General features: G+C 35.4%; 1 long non-coding RNA gene across 1 annotated transcript in view; it reads right to left on the bottom strand.

The window, feature by feature from the left end:
* LOC105377408 (uncharacterized) overlaps positions 1-19,516 on the bottom strand; it is a 43,299-nt gene extending 23,783 nt beyond the window's left edge. Inside the window, exon 1 of the long non-coding RNA XR_001741822.2 lies at positions 19,440-19,516. This is a non-coding gene — a long non-coding RNA (uncharacterized LOC105377408). The remainder of the gene's footprint in view (positions 1-19,439) is intronic.
* Positions 19,517-20,481: the final 965 nt, after the last annotated feature.

Raw genomic sequence — 20,481 nt, forward strand, 5'->3', positions numbered from 1 at the left:
TTTCTACAACCAGTGAAAGATGGCTCCAATTTCTCCACATCTTTGGCAACATTATTATTATTTTAAAATTATTATAGTTATCCCAGTGGATATGAAATGCTGTCTTAATGGGATTCTGATTTAAATATGTACTGTCTTTTATTCTGTTGAAGTGGTATATTACACTCATTGATTTTCAGATATTAAATCGACTTTTCTTTCCCAGAACAAATCCCAAATTGGTCATGGTGTATAATCCTTTATTTTTTTCTTTTAAAAATTTTGTAAAAATTTAAGGGGATACAAGTGCAATTGTGTTACGTGGATATATTGTGCAGTGATGAAGTCTTGGCTTTTAGTATATCCATCACTCAAATAATATAAATTGTAACCATTAAGTAATTTCTCATCACCAATCCCCATTCTGCCCCCACTATTCTGAGTCTCCAATGTCTATCTTTCCACTCTCTATATCCATGTGTACATATGTATAATACTTTACACAAAATGTTACATTGCATGTACTAGTATTTTGCGGAGTATTTTGATGTCTGTATTCATAAAAGATATTGGCCTGTAGTTTTCTCATGATGTCATTATCTGGCTTTGGTGTCAGGATAATACTGGCTTGATATGATGGGTTGAGAACTGTTCTCTCCTCTTCTACTTTTGAAAGAGTTTGTAAATATTTGTTTTCTTATTGTTTTGTAGTTCATCTATTGTAAAACAATTTCTTTGCTTAATCTAAAATTTATTGTTTGTATAAAAAAAGATTTCTTTTTATATTAACAGATAACCAATTGGAGCAGCATTTGTTAAATTATATTCTTAATATCATTGATTTGGAAAGTTATTTCATAATATTAAATTTATTGATATACTCTTTTAAGTATCTCAGTCCTCGTTTTCTTTATCAAACATGACTTAGCTTTTTCTACTTTCTTATTTGTCTGGATTGTCTAGAGTATGGAGTCATTCTTTCAAGGTTATCCCAGACTTCCTGGCTGCCGCAGTGGTATTGTTCCCCTGGCAATGCCTGTATAATATTGTGCTCCTCAATACAGCGTGTTCAGTTTTATAATTAATGAAAGTCTCTTCCACAGTTTAACTAATTGATTGAATACTATGAGGTTTTTCAATATTGTTGAAAATTTAAATATATTTCTGGAGTTTTCACAGGTAAAACATTTGATAAACCTTCATGGGGCAAAAAAAAAAAAAAAGAATAATATACTTGTCAAAATCCATAGAACTGTACAACACAAAGATTGAATCCTAATGTCAACTACAAATGTTAGTTAATAACGATGTATCAATATTTGGTTCATGAATTGTAACAAATGTACTACACTAAAGCAAGGTGTCAATAGCACCAAAAACTTTGAACAGGAGGAAAGAAGGTATATGGGAACTCTGTGTGCTTTCTGCTCAATTTTTCTGTCAATATAAAAGTGCTTCAAAATAAAGTCAATCAATTTAAAATAGATTAATTATATGTAAGACATTTTGAAGAACTATATAAATCATAGCTGGTTTTAAAAGCAGATATTAGGTATAGATAGGGTCACTTGGCAAAATAGAGCTTCACAGTTTCACACTAGCACGCATTACCAGTGCATTCTTTCCTTTTACTCCACTCCCCTCTGCAGATCCTCTGCAGATACACAGTCCTTCCTATCCCTTGTGACCTGTTTTGTTTGTTTGTTTGTTTTAAGAAATAGGTCTCTGCTCAATAATATTTAAATGATCACAACTGTGACAGTAGCATGCCCTTTTCCATCTGACTTAGCTGGTAGTTTCTCTTTATGTCTGGGTCTTGATAAACCCTTGAAGGTAATATGACTGAGATAGCAGCATCACTTCTCTATTGGGCTGTTGCTTCCCAATAAGTCATAGCAAAGAATAAAGTTTATCTAATTCCATGTACAAGCAAACACTGAAATAACCTGAATACTCATTATATAGAATTAAATAACTTAAAATTTAATCAAGAGTAGAATATTTTCCTGCTATCAAAATGAAATTTTAATGAACATTTAATAACATGGACAACATTCTCAATATGTTAATTGGAAAAATAAAAATAAAAATCTGTGTATACATATGAAAGAAAATACATCAAAATGAGCTACCCTATCTAGAATTTCCTGGGAGAACCAAAAAAATACATTTGAAATAAATAAATTCTATACTCTGCCATGCATGTACATATGACATTAAGTTGTCTTTTAGAGAAACTGCTTAAAATTTTTCTATTTTGGTACAATTTTAGATTGACAGAAGAGTTGTAAATATAATGGAAATAGTTCTTACATATTGTAATATTGATATCTTTCATAACCATGAGGTATTCATTGAAAATAAGAAATTATTGTGAAGCACTAAAATATATGCTACATATTTTATTTGGATTCACCAGTTTCCCCTCTAATGTCTTTTTCTCTTCCACAATATCTTATTCCATCTAGTTGTCATATTTCCCTTGTGTCCTCCAATTTTGACAGTCTTACTGTGTTTTCTTCCTTTTCATAACCTTGACACTTTTGAAGAGTACTGTTCTCATATTTTGTTGAATGCTTCTCAATTTAGGTTTGTCTGATGATTTCATATGATTATACTGGGGTTCTGATTTTTTTGGAAGGCTACTACAAATAAGAAGTGCTCTTCTTATTGGGTGATATCAAGGAACACACAAAATCAACAAGATTTATTACTAGTGACACTAACTTTGATCACTTGGTTAAGATGCTATCTTCTGGTTTCCCTATTATAGCGTCACTTTTTTTTCTCTTTCTGCACTCTGTTCATCAGAATGAGTCACTAAGTTTAGCCACATTCAAAAGAAATTTTAAACCAATGTTTTAAACCTTTATTCTCTCCATGGCTTTAAATGGTAGGTGTCTTCCTGATTAACAATATGTGGCCTACTCATTACATATAAATTTCTGCCTCTGGAAGGTGATGGGTTAGCTTTCAAGGTGTCACAGAGATTTCAAGTCAAAGTTACACATCCCACTTGACCATAATATTAACTCAAACTATTTGAAACCTATTTAATTATGGTGAAAATTCAAACTAAGCTCTAGCTAATGTGGATGATGAACTTATTTTAGACTTTCCACGTGAGGTGCTCCATCGTGTATTTCACATATGTCCTGATGAAGTTTAATTCAAATCATTGTGAATATTCCCTCTCTATTTGGTGCTATTTCCACAGCTATTTTGTATGATGTGATAATACACTGGAAAACAGATAGAGAGGGATTTCTTTTTTTATTTTTATAGATAAAAATATTGTTTTATTCTGGGTACTTATAACATCAGTGATTCTAATTTTTTAAATCTTTTGGTATTCACCAAATTTTTCTCAATCTCATATATTGCCTTTATAACAACAAAAAAGATAATATTACACTTTTTTAAAGTAATGGATTTATGCAAGATATGTCTGCTAATGAAAATATGATATGACATAGGATAAAGAAAGAACTTCAGTCTCAGAACTTCAATCTTTTTCTATTACTTAAATAAAATTGAGTGGTTCCAGTGGTTTTGGATCTCTGAGTCTTTGCTGACACTTATTACATTCTGTTCGGTTGTCCACCTATGTTCTCTCTGCTGTCATTTGCAGTGGGCTGAGGGATTCGTGAATGTCTTTCATAGAATAAAGAAAGAAATAAAAATGTCCAAAGGAAATGAAAACTTCTGGAATCGGACTGGTCCTCAAGTCATTGTAGTTTTTTACCTCAAAATATATCTTAGATACAGGCCCTCGTCTTCATTATGTTCTGCACCACAGAATTATTTCATGCTATCATTGCATGAAACATTGCAATAGCTTGGTGACCTCTGTCACTATTCACAGTTCAGTTAAGACAACTACATATTGTGGTCAGATTGACCTGCCTGCATTCAAACATATAATATAACTTTCTGTAGTAGATTGAACAGTGGGTCCCCAAAAGATACAGTCATGTCTCAGAACCTATGAATGTAACCTTGGTTGGAAAAGGAGCCTTTGTAAACATAATTAAGTTAAGGATCTCAAGATGAAGTCATCCTGGATTATCCAGATGGGCCCTAAATTCTATTATAAGTCTCCTTAGAAGAAACACGGAAGGTACTGACACACAGAGAAGAGAAGGCCGCATAAACATAGAGGCAGAAATTGAAATTATGCAGCCACAAGTCAAGAAATGCCTGGAGACACTGAAAGAAGGAAGGATTCTCCCCTAGTGTCTTCAGAAAGAGTGCAGCCCTGCTGACACCCTGATTTAAGCACTCTGGCATCTAGAATTGTGATAAAATTAATTTATGTTGTTTTAAGCTATGAAATTTGTGGAAGTTATGATAGACTAATAAGTCTTCAGAATATTTATTTGTGCCCCTCTGGTCCATGAACCCCATTTTCTGGTAGACAGAATAATGACTTCCCCAAAGATGTCCATGTCCTAATCCCCACAAGCTATGAATTTCTTATGTTACATGTGTATATTAATCCATTCTCATGCCACTAATAAAGACATACCCACAACTGGGTAATTTATAAAGGAAAGAGTTTAATTGACTCACAGTTCAGCATGGCTGAGGAAACCTCAGGAAACTTACAATCATGGCAGAAGGAGTAGCAAATACATCCTTCTAGGAGTATATACCTTATGGTGACAGGAGAGAGAAAAATGAGAACTGAGCAAAGGTGGAAGCCCTTTATGAAACCATCAGAACTCATGAGAACTTACTATCACAAGAACAGGATGGGGGCAACTTCCCTCATGATTCAATTACCTCCCACTGGGTCCCTCCCACAACATGTGGGGATTATGGGAACTACAATTCAAGATGAGATTTGGGTGAGAACACAGCCAAACCACATCAATATCAAAAAGGAGTCAAGGCTGCAGATGGAAGTAAGCTCACCTTACCTAGGTAAGATAATACTGGATTATTTGGGCAAGACCAATGTAATCACAAGAGTCTTTAGAGTGAAAGAGGGAGACAGAAGAGGAGTCAGAATCAGAGGAAAATATGACTATGGAGAAGGTCTGAGTGATGTGATTCAAGAACTCGACTGGCCTTTGCTTTAAAGACGGAGGAAGCGGGCCACAAACCAAGGAATGCAGATGTTCTCAAGACTAACCTGGGGAGGACAAGGAAATAAATTCTGCCCAATAGACTCCAGCAGGAGTGCAGCCCTGCCCTTGACTTTAGCTCAACGAGACTCATTCTGGACTGTGAGACTCCAAAACTGTGAGATAATAAATTTGTCTTCTTTAGATCCCATTTGTCAATTTTGTCTTTTGTTGCCATTGCTTTTGGTGTTTTGGACATGAAGTCCTTGCCCATGCCTATGTCCTGAATGGTAATGCCTAGGTTTTCTTCTAGGGTTTTTATGGTTTTAGGTCTAATGTTTAAGTCTTTAATCCATCTTGAATTGATTTTTGTATAAGGTGTAAGGAAGGGATCCAGTTTCAGCTTTCTACATATGGCTAGCCAGTTTTCCCAGCACCATTTATTAAATAGGGAATCCTTTCCCCATTGCTTGTTTTTCTCAGGTTTGTCAAAGATCAGATAGTTGTAGATATGCGGCGTTATTTCTGAGGGCTCTGTTCTGTTCCATTGATCTATATCTCTGTTTTGGTACCAGTACCATGCTGTTTTGGTTACTGTAGCCTTGTAGTATAGTTTGAAGTCAGGTAGTGTGATGCCTCCAGCTTTGTTCTTTTGGCTTAGGATTGCCTTGGCGATGCGGGCTCTTTTTTGATTCCATATGAAATTTAAAGTAGTTTTTTCCAATTCTGTGAAGAAAGTCATTGGTAGCTTGATGGGGATGGCATTGAATCTGTAAATTACCTTGGGCAGTATGGCCATTTTCATGATATTGATTCTTCCTACCCATGAACATGGAATGTTCTTCCATTTGTTTGTATCCTCTTTTATTTCCTTGAGCAGTGGTTTGTAGTTCTCCTTGAAGAGGACCTTCACATCCCTTGTAAGTTGGATTCCTAGGTATTTTATTCTCTTTGAAGCAATTGTGAATGGGAGTTCACTCATGATTTGGCTCTCTGTTTGTCTGTTATTGGTGTATAAGAATGCTTGTGATTTTTGTACATTGATTTTGTATCCTGAGACTTTGCTGAAGTTGCTTATCAGCTTAAGGAGATTTGGGGCTCAGACGATGGGGTTTTCTAGATATACAATCATGTCATCTGCAAACAGGGACAATTTGACTTCCTCTTTTCCTAATTGAATACCCTTTATTTCCTTCTCCTGCCTAATTGCCCTGGCCAGAACTTCCAACACTATGTTGAATAGGAGTGGTGAGAGAGGGCATCCCTGTCTTGTGCCAGTTTTCCAAGGGAATGCTTCCAGTTTTTGCCCATTCAGTATGATATTGGCTGTGGGTTTGTCATAGATAGCTCTTATTATTTTGAAATACATCCCATCAATACCTAATTTATTGAGAGTTTTTAGCATGAAGGCACAGAAAAAGAAACTACCATCAGAGTGAACAGGCAACCTACAAAATGGGAGAAAATTTTTGCAACCTACTCATCTGACAAAGGGCTAATATCCAGAATCTACAATGAACTCAAACAAATTTACAAGAAAAAAACAAACAGCCCCATCAAAAAGTGGGCGAAGGACATGAACAGACACTTCTCAAGAGAAGACATTTATGCAGCCAAAAAACACATGAAAAAATGCTCATCATCACTGGCCATCAGAGAAATGCAAATCAAAACCACAATTAGATACCATCTCACACCAGTTAGAATGGCAATCATTAAAAAGTCAGGAAACAACAGGTGCTGGAGAGGATGTGGAGAAATAGGAACACTTTTACACTGTTGGTGGGACTGTAAACTAGTTCAACCACTGTGGAAGTCAGTGTGGCGATTCCTCAGGGATCTAGAACTAGAAATACCATTTGACCCAGCCATCCCATTACTGGGTATATACCCAAAGGACTATAAATCATGCTGCTATAAAGACACATGCACACGTATGTTTATTGCGGCACTATTCACAATAGCAAAGACTTGGAACCAACCCAAATGTCCATCAATGATAGACTGGATTAAGAAAATGTGGCACATATACACCATGGAATACTATGCAGCCATAAAAAATGATGAGATCATGTCCTTTGTAGGGACATGGATGAAATTGGAAATCATCATTCTCAGTAAACTATCGCAAGAACAAAAAACCAAACACTGCATATTCTCACTCATTGGTGGGAGTTGAACAATGAGATCACATGGACACAGGAAGGGGAATATCACACTCTGGGGACTGTGGTGGGGTGGGGGACGTGGGAGGGATAGCATTGGGAGATATACCTAATGCTAGATGACGAGTTAGTGGGTGCAGCACACCAGCATGGCACATGTATACATATGTAACTAACCTGCACAATGTGCACATGTACCCTAAAACTTAAAGTATAATTAAAAAAAAAAAAAAGAAAAAAAATAAATTTGTCTTCTTTAACCACTGAATTTATAGTCGTTTGTTATGGCATCCATAGACGCTAACACACCATATATGTTTTAAACTCTCATTAAGTAAGAAAACCATGCAGTGTTTCTCCTCTAAGCAAAGTTTAGTAGTTTAACAAACTTTTCTTTTTTTTTTTCTAAAAGGTAGATTATGCATACATTTTTTCTTCTTACATGCTTGTCATATTTTTAATTTTTTTTCTGTAATTAAATGCAATTGGTAATTTTTGAAAAGAACAACTATTTCCCCAGGGAAAGAAAACAATTGGCTTCATTTCTTTGGATACATAATTGCCTTATTTGTACCTTGAATTACTCAGACATGCTTGACTGATTGGACTGAAATATAAATCATGTTTTTAATAAATATTATTTCACGATGAACATGTTCCTGCTGTTAATAAAAAATAGGCTAATAAATAAAATCACAATAACATAAACAACATGAGAAAGATAGGGAAGATGAAAATAAATTTGGACTAAAAATTAAGAAACATATACTCCAATTCTGGTTTCGACATAAACAAAAAGTAAGCAAATTACAGAACCATTATAGCTCTTAATTTCCTCCTCTATGAAGTAAGGAATGAACTTAGTATGTAATTCAAGGATTCTACTTCTTTCCGTATTAGTTTACTAGGCTGACAAATTCATTCTATGAAACTGGAAAGTAGGCCTGAGAATGAGGAAATGCCATGCTCATTGAGAGGTATAATTATCTTTTTATACTGTGACATAAGGATAGTCACAGAGAGAAGCAAAAATCTCATCGGGAGCCTCAAAGCCTGCTTAGACATTTGGATAAACTTAATGTGCAAACTGGAAACAATATTAGAAGAGTAGTTTGAACTCTTTATAGACCCTCTGATCTGCTTACAAACTCAGCTCGAAATACACAGAAGATGAGGCTGCAGGAACTGTTAGTTTTGCCAGTGTAGACATTCCAGTGAACATTCTTAAACCAATAACTTTCATTACTCATGCTGGCATGCTCAGTAGGTGGAAGCCAGAAGTAATATACTTAGACGAAGTTGAACTATAAACAGAGTAAAGTTGCTTACCAAGGGTGCACACATTTGCAGAACAGATTAGGAATTTTGTTAATATTTGATATCGCTATTTTTCAATAATGTCTTTACAATTTTATCCCCAAATCCCTCCCATAAAAATTAGAATTTAAAAACTTAAAATATTGATATCTCTTTGAATTCAGACATTAATGTTACATAATATTTTTATTCTCATTTTTATTTTATTTTATTTGTAGTTAATCAAAGTAGTAAAAGAGAATCTATTTTTAAAGAAGATAACAAAACAGAAAGACAAGACTGAAATTGAGTAATTTACCCTTAAATATTTTCTTTCTTGGTTTTATATATACTAAAGAAAAACAATTATTATGGTCATGTGTTTAAAGCACTACTTCAACTAGTCTTTGAGTTAGAATAGCCCTAACTATTGTCTTGATAAGACCTGGATAGCTTTATATCACAATAAACCTAGACAGTAACAGTTCTACATTGCAGAGGTGGAGGAAGATTTGATTGTGTGGCATGCTGTATGGTATAGTCATTAAATAAATAAATAAATAAATAAGTAAATAAATAAATAAATAGACACTTGTCAAAAGACCAGCATAGCGTGGATGCCAGCAAAACTGTAAATGGTCATTTAATTTCAAATTGAACTGAGGCTCTATTCATTTGAGTTATTCAGAGCTTCGTCAGAGCAGCTTACAGGCTAATTTTTCTGATGCACAAAAGTGCTAGCCATAATCTAGGAATGCCTTCCTCTCATTTTAGAAGAATGGATTTAAATGTAATTTATTTCCCCTGATGAGTCAAAGTTGATTTTTGTTTATTTAGGTCTCAGTTAATGCCAAATAGGCATCCATGCTAGAACTCTAAATTATTCTCAAATCTGTTAGTCATAAATTGCATTATTTAAGTGGTATTATCACCTGCAATAAACTATTATTTGTATTCCCTTGTGATACCTGGAGGTGTTTGTGTCCAGCTGCCATCTGGTAGGCATTGCTAAGCCAGTGGCCCCTTTTTCTTTCTCAGATTAGTCATCACAGTGCAGTGTTCATTATGCGGGCCTTTTTTATAAATGAATGAAAAGGAGCCAACTATGCTCAAAATCAAGCACATGAAAATAAATCGGATCACTTTAAGAAAACTTGAATAGGAGAAGCTCTAGGTTTACACATAGCTTTGCACCTTTTACATAATCGCCAAACATTCATGTGTGCTGTTTAATTTTTATTGTCTTTAGGTAACTCATTGGCTCTAAGTCATTTGATTTCTACTTCTTTCTTTCCTCAGTCACTCACCCTCTCTTATGTGGCCATGCTTGGCTTGCCTATGCTATTCTAATCTTTAGTAAGCATATGGTTTTCTCAATAAGATGCTTTATAGTATTTCTCTGACATTGTTTAGCATCCTACCTAGAATGTCAGCTTACATCCTTGTAGCTATGATACATAATAGAATATACTCTTGGGTGAGGTAGAAAGCAAATTCTTGTCTGGTAGGCAGACATAAATATCTGGGCAGACTTAAGGTGGTATGGAAGTTAACTAACTGGTGCAGCTTTTGATCCTACCTGTTTGTGCCAGGAAGATTATAAGACAAAAGAATGAATGAAGCAGAAGGAAAATTAGAATGACCTATGTTTTCCTTCATAGAAAATCAAAATCAGCTCTACTTGTGAAGAGGTGTTAATTAACAGATTTCTGAGTAGAGAACTGGCATGCAGAGCTTTGATCACAACAGATCCTGAGTAGGACTGTGAATTAAAGTTTCAGGTTGTAAGCACTTAAACAAAAAAGCCTACCTTTTTTGCAACTGACATTTTGCCACCTAGGGCCATGCTTCAGTGGCCACTTACAAATAACTATTGACTAATGTATTATGGGGCTTCCAGTTGACTCTAAAACTATATCCTATAAAATCAATATCTGTGATGCATAGACAATGCCCTGAGTATATTTTTTGCAACCTCAGAGCAGATGATACTGCCCATATTTATGTAAAAATTTATTTACAATATTAACATTGATAAAATTCATTGATAAGATAGTGATTCATGCTGCTGCCAGCATCCCAGGGACTAAAGATATTGTTTGTTTTTCATAGAAAAGAAAATCAGGAAAATTATATATGGAAGAAAATTGGACATAAAATTTTATGAGAAAAAGGTTTTCCAGATGCATATCCTATTCTTCCAACCCCAATTTATATGTTTGTTCACTGATGCAGACTACATTTTATTTTTTACTTGCCAATCTCTCCTACAAAATTGTAACTGATTTAAGGTTGAAGAAACCTAGACCTGTATGCCATGATATTGGCTACAGAATTTTAACTAGAGTATTTTAAACACGGTGTAGGCTAAAAGCTAGCTATGGGTCCACAGCAAAGAGTAGAACAGTAATAGTGATTTAGGCAGGAAATTGGCAAAAGATAAATCCAAGGAAATAAGTCCTCAATTTCTTTATTTTCCTTATCTTCTCACTCTTATCTGTTTCACCTTTACTTCCAAAGTACTGAATTCTTGAAGATAAATGAAGAATAGACAGGATTTAGGAGGCAGAGGCAAAGATGAGGTTGTTATTTAAGGGAACAATCTGAACAAAATGAGGATTGTAATTGGAGAAGTAGCCCAGAATGGTTACAGTACAAGATGTATAAGAGAAGAAAGAGGCATAACCTTGGCAAGGTCATTTTGGACCATATTATAGAATCGAGGGAAGAGGTTAAATTATTGATTGAGGAGTTTAAACTTAATTCAGGAGGCAATGAGGAACCATTAAAGGCCCTAACTGTAAAAAAGTGACTAAATTATAATTGTGCTTTAAGAAGTTTACTCTGCCAGTGGTGTTTACTCGTTGACATCTACTCATCAACTATTTGTTTTAAAAATAAAGAAACATACATTAAGTGTTCTGAGAGATAAAGAGATTATCATGATAAAACTGACTTTATGAGAGTGCAATTTACAGAACTATTATAAAGTGCATGTAATAGCTATGCTATCTAACACAAGTAATAAATATCTTAAGTGCATGAGAGAATTTGAGAAGAGGAAGTTTTTTCTGACTATTGGGAAGACCAATTATAAGGCTAAAACAAAGGGCTATGCAAGAGATAATAAAAAATTTCAACCACCAAAATAACTGCATTTGAAGTACAGACACAAAAGATGCTATAAAAGTAAACTCAAGCAACTTGGCTGCCGTTTTGATTAGTGCATAGTGGAAAAAAGAGTCGAAATGGCTGAACATTTTCAAGCCTAGAGAATCAGGATTTATTTATTTTTTTTTTCATTCAGTAATTTGGCATATATTTATGTAGTGATGAACACATAACAGAATTATTTTAGTTGTTAGGATTGAGGGATGAAAATGCTAGTCCTCATGTAACTTACTTTCTAGTAGAGAAATAATAATGACATAAACAGAAAAACAGCATTGAATGATCAAAACTAGAAACCAAGAGAAGAGGTTGCTTGAAAAAGATGTAATTTGTTTAACAACATTGTGAGTTAGAGTAGCTCATGAGGTACGAATTTAAACAGAGAGGAGTGCCAGAGAGACTGACTTTTACTTGTCCAGTAGAAACGGCTCAAAAAAATGAGGATGAATGAGCTCATCAAAGGAGGAAGTGAAGAAAGGCAAAAATAGGGATTAGGATAGAATCTTAAGGGAATACTTGCATTTAGGAAATGAGATGTTGAATAAGAATACATTAATGAGAAAAAAGAGAGATGAAAATTTGTAAGCAATAATAAATGCTAAAATATCAAAGAATTTTTTTAAGCTAGGAGATTACATGGCTAAATTCAGCGGAGAGTAAGACGATGTAGACTGGAAAACATGCCAGTTATCAAACAGTAATGGGGGCAGAAGCTAGATCATAAATCAGTTTTAGACGTGGAAGAAAGCAGAGAGACTGAAGAAGAGCTTGAGAGAGAGGTAAGTAAGGAGGAAAATTATTTTAAGACTGATAGTTTGATATGATCATGAGTAAAAACTACTATAGCTTCACTTTCACAATTACTTTCGCTAATGATCAATTTCCTAAGTAAGACATCAGCACTTAATCTCGGCTGGATTCTTTCCCAAGCAAAAATGGGGATGTAAAGAGCAAAAAAAGAAGGACAAAGCAAAGTAAGAAAATAACAAATCAGTCAAAGAGAAAGTATGAGAAGGTTGGATTGAGAGCACACATAGAGCCATGGGAAAGAAAATGGGAATGCTGTTTGTCCTCAGAAGTGTGTTAGATATGCATGCTATGGCCTGAATGTTTGTGTGCCCCCAAAATCCATATGCTAAAGTCCTAACCTACAAAGTGAAGGTATTAGAAGGCACTGCCTTTTATGAAGTGGTTAGGTCATAAATGATGAGCCCTCATGAATGGGACTAGTGCCTTTTCAAGGAGATCCCAGAGAGCTGATTTGGCCCTTTCACTATGCAAGGACATAGCAAGAAGGCATCATCTATGCACGAGAAAGTGTTCTCCAGACTGAATCTGCTATGATCTTGGACTTCTCAGCCTCCGGAACTGTGAGAAATAAATGTCTGTTGTTTATAAGCCACACAGTTTATGATTTTATAGACCAATACAATGCAGAAAGAGATGGTGAATAAAAAGTACAGGGATAGTAACAAGGAAAGCCGAGAAGACATCTTTCAAATAGTCTTAATAATCTTGATAAATTAGAGAAAAATTATTCAGCAATTTGAAGGGTTTTGGCTAGGCTTACAGACATTAAGAGTAAAGACACTTTGAAATAGCTAAAAAAGAAAATAAAATTATGATTCAACAGGAGATAAATAAAATGATTACTCATCAGCCTAGAAGGCTTAGTTTAAATTAGAGAGCATTTATCTGGAATGAATCAATACATATGATTTTATTATTTCCTCCAGTAAGCATTGGCTGCCCAGTAGCAGAGAAAAAGGTCTGAGTGATCCTGATTCCCCTTTCTCATATTCTACCGATCTTGCTACTGGCAGGGACTGGGGTGATCCATCTGGTGTCAGATGAGAGACAAAAGGTTTTTCTCTTCATGTTCTCCATGGTTTGTTTTACCTCTTTGATGAAAAGAAGCTGTATGCCAAAGTGTAGAAAGCAAAGTCACCAAAATATAAGCCCACTCATCTATCACTGACAGTGTTTCAGACTTATTCAGCCCTGTTGTCGTGCTGATGAGTGGGGATAGAATTGCCAGAAATCTGAGGAGAAAAGTTCTCAGAAAATTAAGCCAAGTGGGAATAATTAATTTTCCCAAGCAGGGAGTGAAATGTCTCTCCAAGAGCAGTAGGGAGGTCACACCTGATCTTCAGAAACTGTATTATGTGGCAGGAGCCCCAAGTCCTTTCTGTCACTGTTCTAACTCCTCCTAGGGGAGCCTGAAAGACTTAATGTCAGGCAAGGCTACTTGATACTTATGGACATTTCCAGTTTTGGCCTTCTGTGAATGTAGAAAATATAATGGCATTGAACTTTAATGTGCATGATTATGACTCAGATCTTAGGCTCAACCTCAGAACCCAACTGGGAACAGAGTGAATATAGTCTCTGATTGTCAGGAGTGAATGAGTCAAACATATATAATTCATATAATAATTTAGACAGTAAAACAGCCCAACAAAATAGGAAGGTTTTTTTCTTTTAAACTTTAAAGGAGACCATTTTCATAATCCAGGCTTAAAAGGAGGCATATATTCATGTAATCCAACCACTTAAAATTAAGAGAAATCTCTCATCAGAGAATTTTAAAACTACTATAGCTTCTCTTTTACGATTAATTTTGCTAATGGTCAAGTTCCTAAGTGAGGCAGTATCACTTAAGCTCAGCTCTATTCTTTCCCAAGCAAAGGGTCTGTTGAAAGGATGCCGTAATAAAGCCAAGATAGGGCTCCTTTGTGCCTTTTGATGGAGTGAGACGGAATGGCATCAGATTGGGGATAACTTTAAGCACTATCGCTGCTATATGAGGAGATAAAACAGAAAGCAGTCCGTGTCTCTGAGTTGTTTTGAAGCAGAAGCCTGTGCTTCAGCAAGGAATATTTGTAACTGGAACTGACTGTAGTCTGAACTAAGAACTGCCGTTGGCTGTGAGTAATGAATTCCGTGCCTGAGGTCTGTGTTATTGCTCCTGTTATTCAATATCTTGGTTCCAAGGCAAATGCTGCTGGACATGGGCACATTTATAAATGAATAGTATAGTATAAATTCTGAGAACTTATGGAGACAAGAAAAAGGAAGGACTGCCATATGAAACACTCTCAGCCACTTCCTCAGCAAGGAGGAAAGGAAGCAATCTCATATGTAATAGTGACTTTTTTATGTCTGGCCCATTCTAATATATGATATCATCATAATTCTGCAACTTAAGTATATTAAGCTCATTTATAAAATAATGAGACGAAGGCTAAATATTTAAGAGCGTTTCTCAGTCAGACGGCAGAAAGGAGCAAGTTCAGCTGCTGAACTAATTAAATTTATCCTTGCTTAGTTGTTCTCGACATATGAGCTTTGGACCGGCAGCATTGGTATCATCTGGAAATTTGTTAGAAATAAAATTCTCAGGGCCCATCCCAGACCTACTGAATGAGAAACTCAGCATTAAAGAATGAACTCAGCAATCTGTGTTTTAACAAACCCCATAGGGGATTCTGATAAATACTACAGTGTGAGACCTACTGATCTAGTAAGAAGTCCATGCTCCCTACCAGTGTACACTACTTTCCCCACTCTGTGAAAATACTAATAATTGAAATATTAAACGGATGCATACTCAAGACACTTTGTCCATGTCATGTGTCCACAATTCCATCATTCACTTAGTCATTTCCCTCTGCACAAATTCATTCATTCATTCAATAAGTGCTATATAGAGTGTATGATGATGATGACAGATAAACACAAAGATTAAGACAAACTGTCTGATATTAGAGAAATAGGGCAGGCACACATGAATTAGTTATATTACATGAGGCAATATCTAATCACTGCCAGAATGAAGAACTCAGAGAATTCCATGAGATTTTTGGATACAAGAAAAGATTAAGTTGTTACAGTAAGACCTCATGGAGAATACAAGACTCTAGCATGATGTTGGGAAAATGAGAATATAAAAAGGTGATGGTGGTGATGGGGTGTGGATGGGGTTATTCCAGGTGGATAAAAGCCTGGAAAAGTATATTTGAGAATGTCCAGAGCAACAACCTGTTTTCTTAGATGAGAAAATCACCACAGTGGTTTAATAATTTGCAGGAGGTACCTGAAGTATAAAGAGTCTCAGAATAGGAATGAGGAGACCTGGATTCTATTCTGTCATAGCCAAGTGACATTTTTCAAGCTCTCCATTTTTTTTTTTAAGGCAGGAGTTTCAGTTCAATACTTGTTGACAAAATTGCTGGAAAGGTTAATGAAAATAATCTCTGTCAGGCTTTCCCAATATAGGCAGTATGTATGCGCTAGAAAGAAAAAGTTCAACTTTCAAATATATTTGGGGAATAATGGGTTAAATTATTGTTCTATAAGCTGTCAGACTTCTCAGAACCCTTATTGTGTTCAGGAGATAGTGAGCCTCTCAGGAGAGAAATTAGGATATGCTACGTCCCAAACTTATTTTGCCCTGGAATCCCTTTATTTGAAAACAAACAAACAAACAAACAAACAAACAACTTTTTACTATCTCTCAAGCAAGCATCACAGAAAGTACAGGCAAAAAAAAAAAAGAAAGAAAGAAAGAAAGAAAATGAAAAGGTAACCTATGTGATAATGTCTGGGTACAGAATGGTGTTCATTAAATGTTAATTTAATTGGATTTTTCTGCAGACCAGTTACAGTTCATCTTAGATCTCAGTGTACAATAGTGGAAGTGGCACGGTAATCTGAACACAAGGCCAACAAGGCTAAATTCTCACAACTGTAGCTCAGCATTCATTTTCCATGTATCTTAAAGCTTTTGCCAACTGAAAATTCGTACAAAATATACCTGTTTCTAAAAGTGTTAAACCTCTTGATTTTCTGTAGCCCAAAAGACGTAATGAAATTGCCAAAAACATTTTTCATGATTGATGCAATCAATTGATAAATGTAACCTATCGAGGTGTCATATGTAATGAGCGAATATTTACATAGAATAATTATGTACATACATAATTTTAGACACACATTTATACAATGTGTTTCCCATAAGAGAGCTATCTCTGAGTATTGTGGTTGGTGTATTTAAATAGAGCAGGAATTGTATATTGAAGTTGACAAATATTTTTCATTCCTACTTTGTGTGTCAGACACTGAGCAGAAAAGTTTGAAAAGCACAACAGAATATTTTCCAACAAGATATTCATGATCTAGTGGGGAATAGTGATGCCCATGTGTACTATAAGAGATAGGAGAGAGGCAAACTCTCCATGAAAACCAGAGGAGGGAGCAGGTAATCCTGGTTGCGGGGGAGGCACAACGGAAAGTTCCATCAAGAGAAGGTGACTCTTGATTTGGGCCTGATATGATGATTCTAACATGTCCAGGGAATAAAGCAGAGGATTCCAGGGAAATCATTTTGAGAAGTCACAGCCCCCTTTTCGTATGAAGTATATTCTGCAACACAGGAATACTAAAAAGTTGAAGATTACTTGGGATTGCAAAGCTGCATGCATGTTTAAAATGCCGTCCTTGTCTACACTCAAGCTTATTAACCCAAGGTCAGAATTTTGAAATTCAGACTTTTAGATGCATTTGATTGAGCTTCACAATTTAAGGTTACAAGAATTAAGTCTTTTAGTTTGAACTTGTTTATTCAATAGACAATCACCATAAGCTTGACACCTGGTTTCCTGATTTCTAATAATCAACTGCTATAGGATGTTGGGGCTCAGAAAACAAAACCCCAGAGTGAAGGGTTTGACAAAAGGGTCAAAGTGCAAGTCTTGTCCAGGAGGAAGTAGATAATTCTGTGTAATGAGAGAATAAAATAGGAGTAAGGAGTTGCAGGAGACCTGGACTGGGCATTCCTATTGAAGGAAGATTATGAATATTGTTCGTGCCAAGGTAAGAATTAAGTTTTTTTCTAAAGAACATAGGGTGGTATCAGAAAAAATTATGATGAAAAAGTATTTTGTTTTAGAAAAGATGCCTCTGACTTTTCATCGGAAAATATATCACAGCTGAATGAAATTTTCAAATATAAGGGATAATAATACTAAAATATCTTCCTGTAGGCACTTATAATATGCTGGGCCATGAACTATTCTATAGATGTTATTCCTTTAATGCCCTCATAGCAAGAAGACATAGAAATCATTTTCTCCATTTTAGGTATAAAATAATGTGCTTAAATTCCCACACCTTAAAATTATAGAGCAGAATTCAAATCCAAATTTGTGTATGTCAATGTTTTTAACAATTATTCTATGCTAACACCCATAAAAATCATAAAATAAGTAGAAGGAAATATGGGTGAAGGATTTCTTTTACATTCATGAGGATAGGAAAATACTTTCTAAATATATATTAAAGTCAGAAAGAGAAAATACTTAAGAAAAAATGATAGATTTGATTACATAAATATTAACATTTATATAGCATAATTATAAACAAAATTATAAACAAAATAGAAAAGCAAGCAACAAAATAGAAAAACACTTGCAACATGTGACAGAGACCTAATTAATCTTATATCAAGAGTTTCTAAAAATAAAAAAAATGTGGACTCCCCTATTACAAAAATAAGCAAAGGATGGAGACTACTAGTCATTAGAAGGAGAAATACTATTCCGAATATCTGTGGATAGGCAGAATTTTTTTCCTTTTTTTTGGTGGGGGTGGGGGGTAGTACTGGGTCTCGCTATATTGCCCAGGCAGGTCTCAAACTCCTGGGCTCAAGCTATCCTCCCACCTCTGCCTCCCTAAGAGCTGGCATTGCAGGTGTGAGCTACCACACCTGGCAGGCAGAATTTAAGGTGATAAACGTACTCATATCAAGTTGGTTGGGGTCTAACTTTGCACCCCTAACTTTCTAGAGGTAAGTTTGAGAATATGTATCATAATGTAAAGTGTGAGTTCTTTGACCCAGTAATTTCATTTCAGGATATTTTCCTTAAAAAATAATTAATAAGATGCAGCTGGATGATAAATAGGAACAAAATAAGGAAATTGGTTGGGAGAAGAGAGGCTTTATAAGACTAAATCAAAGTCTTATGGATATGAGATATCAACCCCATTTAAATGATTTTCTTTTCTTTCAAATGTTTTAGGCAGACTCTGTGGTCCTTGCTATATTCTCAAATGTAACAAGTCTACAGGGAGAGATTATGGGTCTCACACAGGGCAGTGAGCTAATAAGGGACCTTCGTAAAATTTGGCTTGGAGACATGAAATTCAAAGTCATGGCCCCTTTTTTCAAATGGAGTATATTCTGCAACACTAGAATACTAAAAAAGTTGAAGACTACTTGGGATTGCAAAGCTGCATGCATGTTTAAAATACCATCCTCACCTAGATTCAAGCTTATTAACCCAAGGTCAGAATTTTAAAATTCAGACTTTTAGATGCATTTGTTTAAGCTTCACAATCTAAGGTTACAAGAATTAAGTCTTTTAGTATGAACTTGTTTGTTCAATAGACAAACAAAGATAAACTTGACACCGGGCTTTTGATTTCTAATAACCAACTGCTGTGGAATGTTGGGGTTCAGAAAACAAAACCTCAGAGTGAAAGCCTCAGAAACAGTTTCTCTCTGACTTTCTCCTGCCCTCCTGACCCTTGCCCCTCATTTCCCCCTCTAGGCAAGCCATAGAAACTAGAATTCCTCTTTCTCTAGGCAATACAAACCGAACCCCATTTTCTCAAGGCCAGCAATAAGACCTAAAGTATTACTGTAATCTTCCACTACCTTTCTGTTAAGAGCTGGCCTTAAAGAAATCTTCTGACCTACCTTGTTGAACAGTAGGTTATGAGAGCCCCATTCCAGAAAGGATACTGATCCATACCCAGGAGGAAAGAATGTTACACAAAGAAGCCAAGAAAAATCCAAACAGACAGGCCTTGCTGGGTTTTCCCACTCAGTATACTACTATTAGATCATACCCTCTTTGTCCAATCAGATTTCTACACAGCTATCCACTCTTCATCAAATCTAAGCATAAAAATCGGCGGTTTTCTCTGTATCTTTGGGCCTTTGTTCTGAAGGTTCTTGTGTCATGTAAAATTATGATTAAATAAATTTGGAATGCTTTCCTCTCGTTAACCTGTCATTTGTTGTAGCAGTGTTGGCCATGACCCTCATGATGGATGAGGAAAGGTTTCACTGCAATGGGTAAATATCAGTGCAGCAACACCACCTAGATATCATTGTGAAACCTCAGAATCCTCTAGTTGTTTCTCAAAGACACAATTAAGCAAAAAATGAAGTCAAGAGATGAAAAGTATTTGAACGTGAAAGGGGCTAGAATCTATAATCTCTATGGAGATGAAGGCTATGCACCAAGGACATTTAAATAACTGGAAATGTTTTATTCTCTTAAAACTCTATCTCAGTTGTTAAAAAATAAACACAAAAAAAGCATTTCTCTGTAATTTAACATCCTCCTGCTGTATCTCTTAACATAACTTTCCCATTCATTTGAATTTCTGCCAGTCAATGTCTTTGGCTCCTTATTTCCTTTTCTATTGAACTAGGAGAAGCTTCTAATCTTTGCTTTTCTCCAATAAATACGAATGCTGCATGGTTTGTGTTTCCTCCGTAAAGAGAATCGGAAGCAAGGAGCCTGCAGTAAATACTTCTAATTAAAGGTTTTTCTGACATATAGGAAGCAGCCCTTTCCTAAGTGTGTGCCCAGGGTGAATTTTTACTGCGATAAGGTGGTCACCAAAATCTCATTCAGAGTCTAATATAGATGTACACTTCCTATCTGAATCCGAGAATTTATGTTGTATTTGGATATTTAGATCTAGCCACTAATGAACAATGTTTGGAA

This window comes from Homo sapiens, chromosome 4, assembly GCF_000001405.40.
Source record: "Homo sapiens chromosome 4, GRCh38.p14 Primary Assembly".
NCBI lineage: Eukaryota > Metazoa > Chordata > Mammalia > Primates > Hominidae > Homo > Homo sapiens.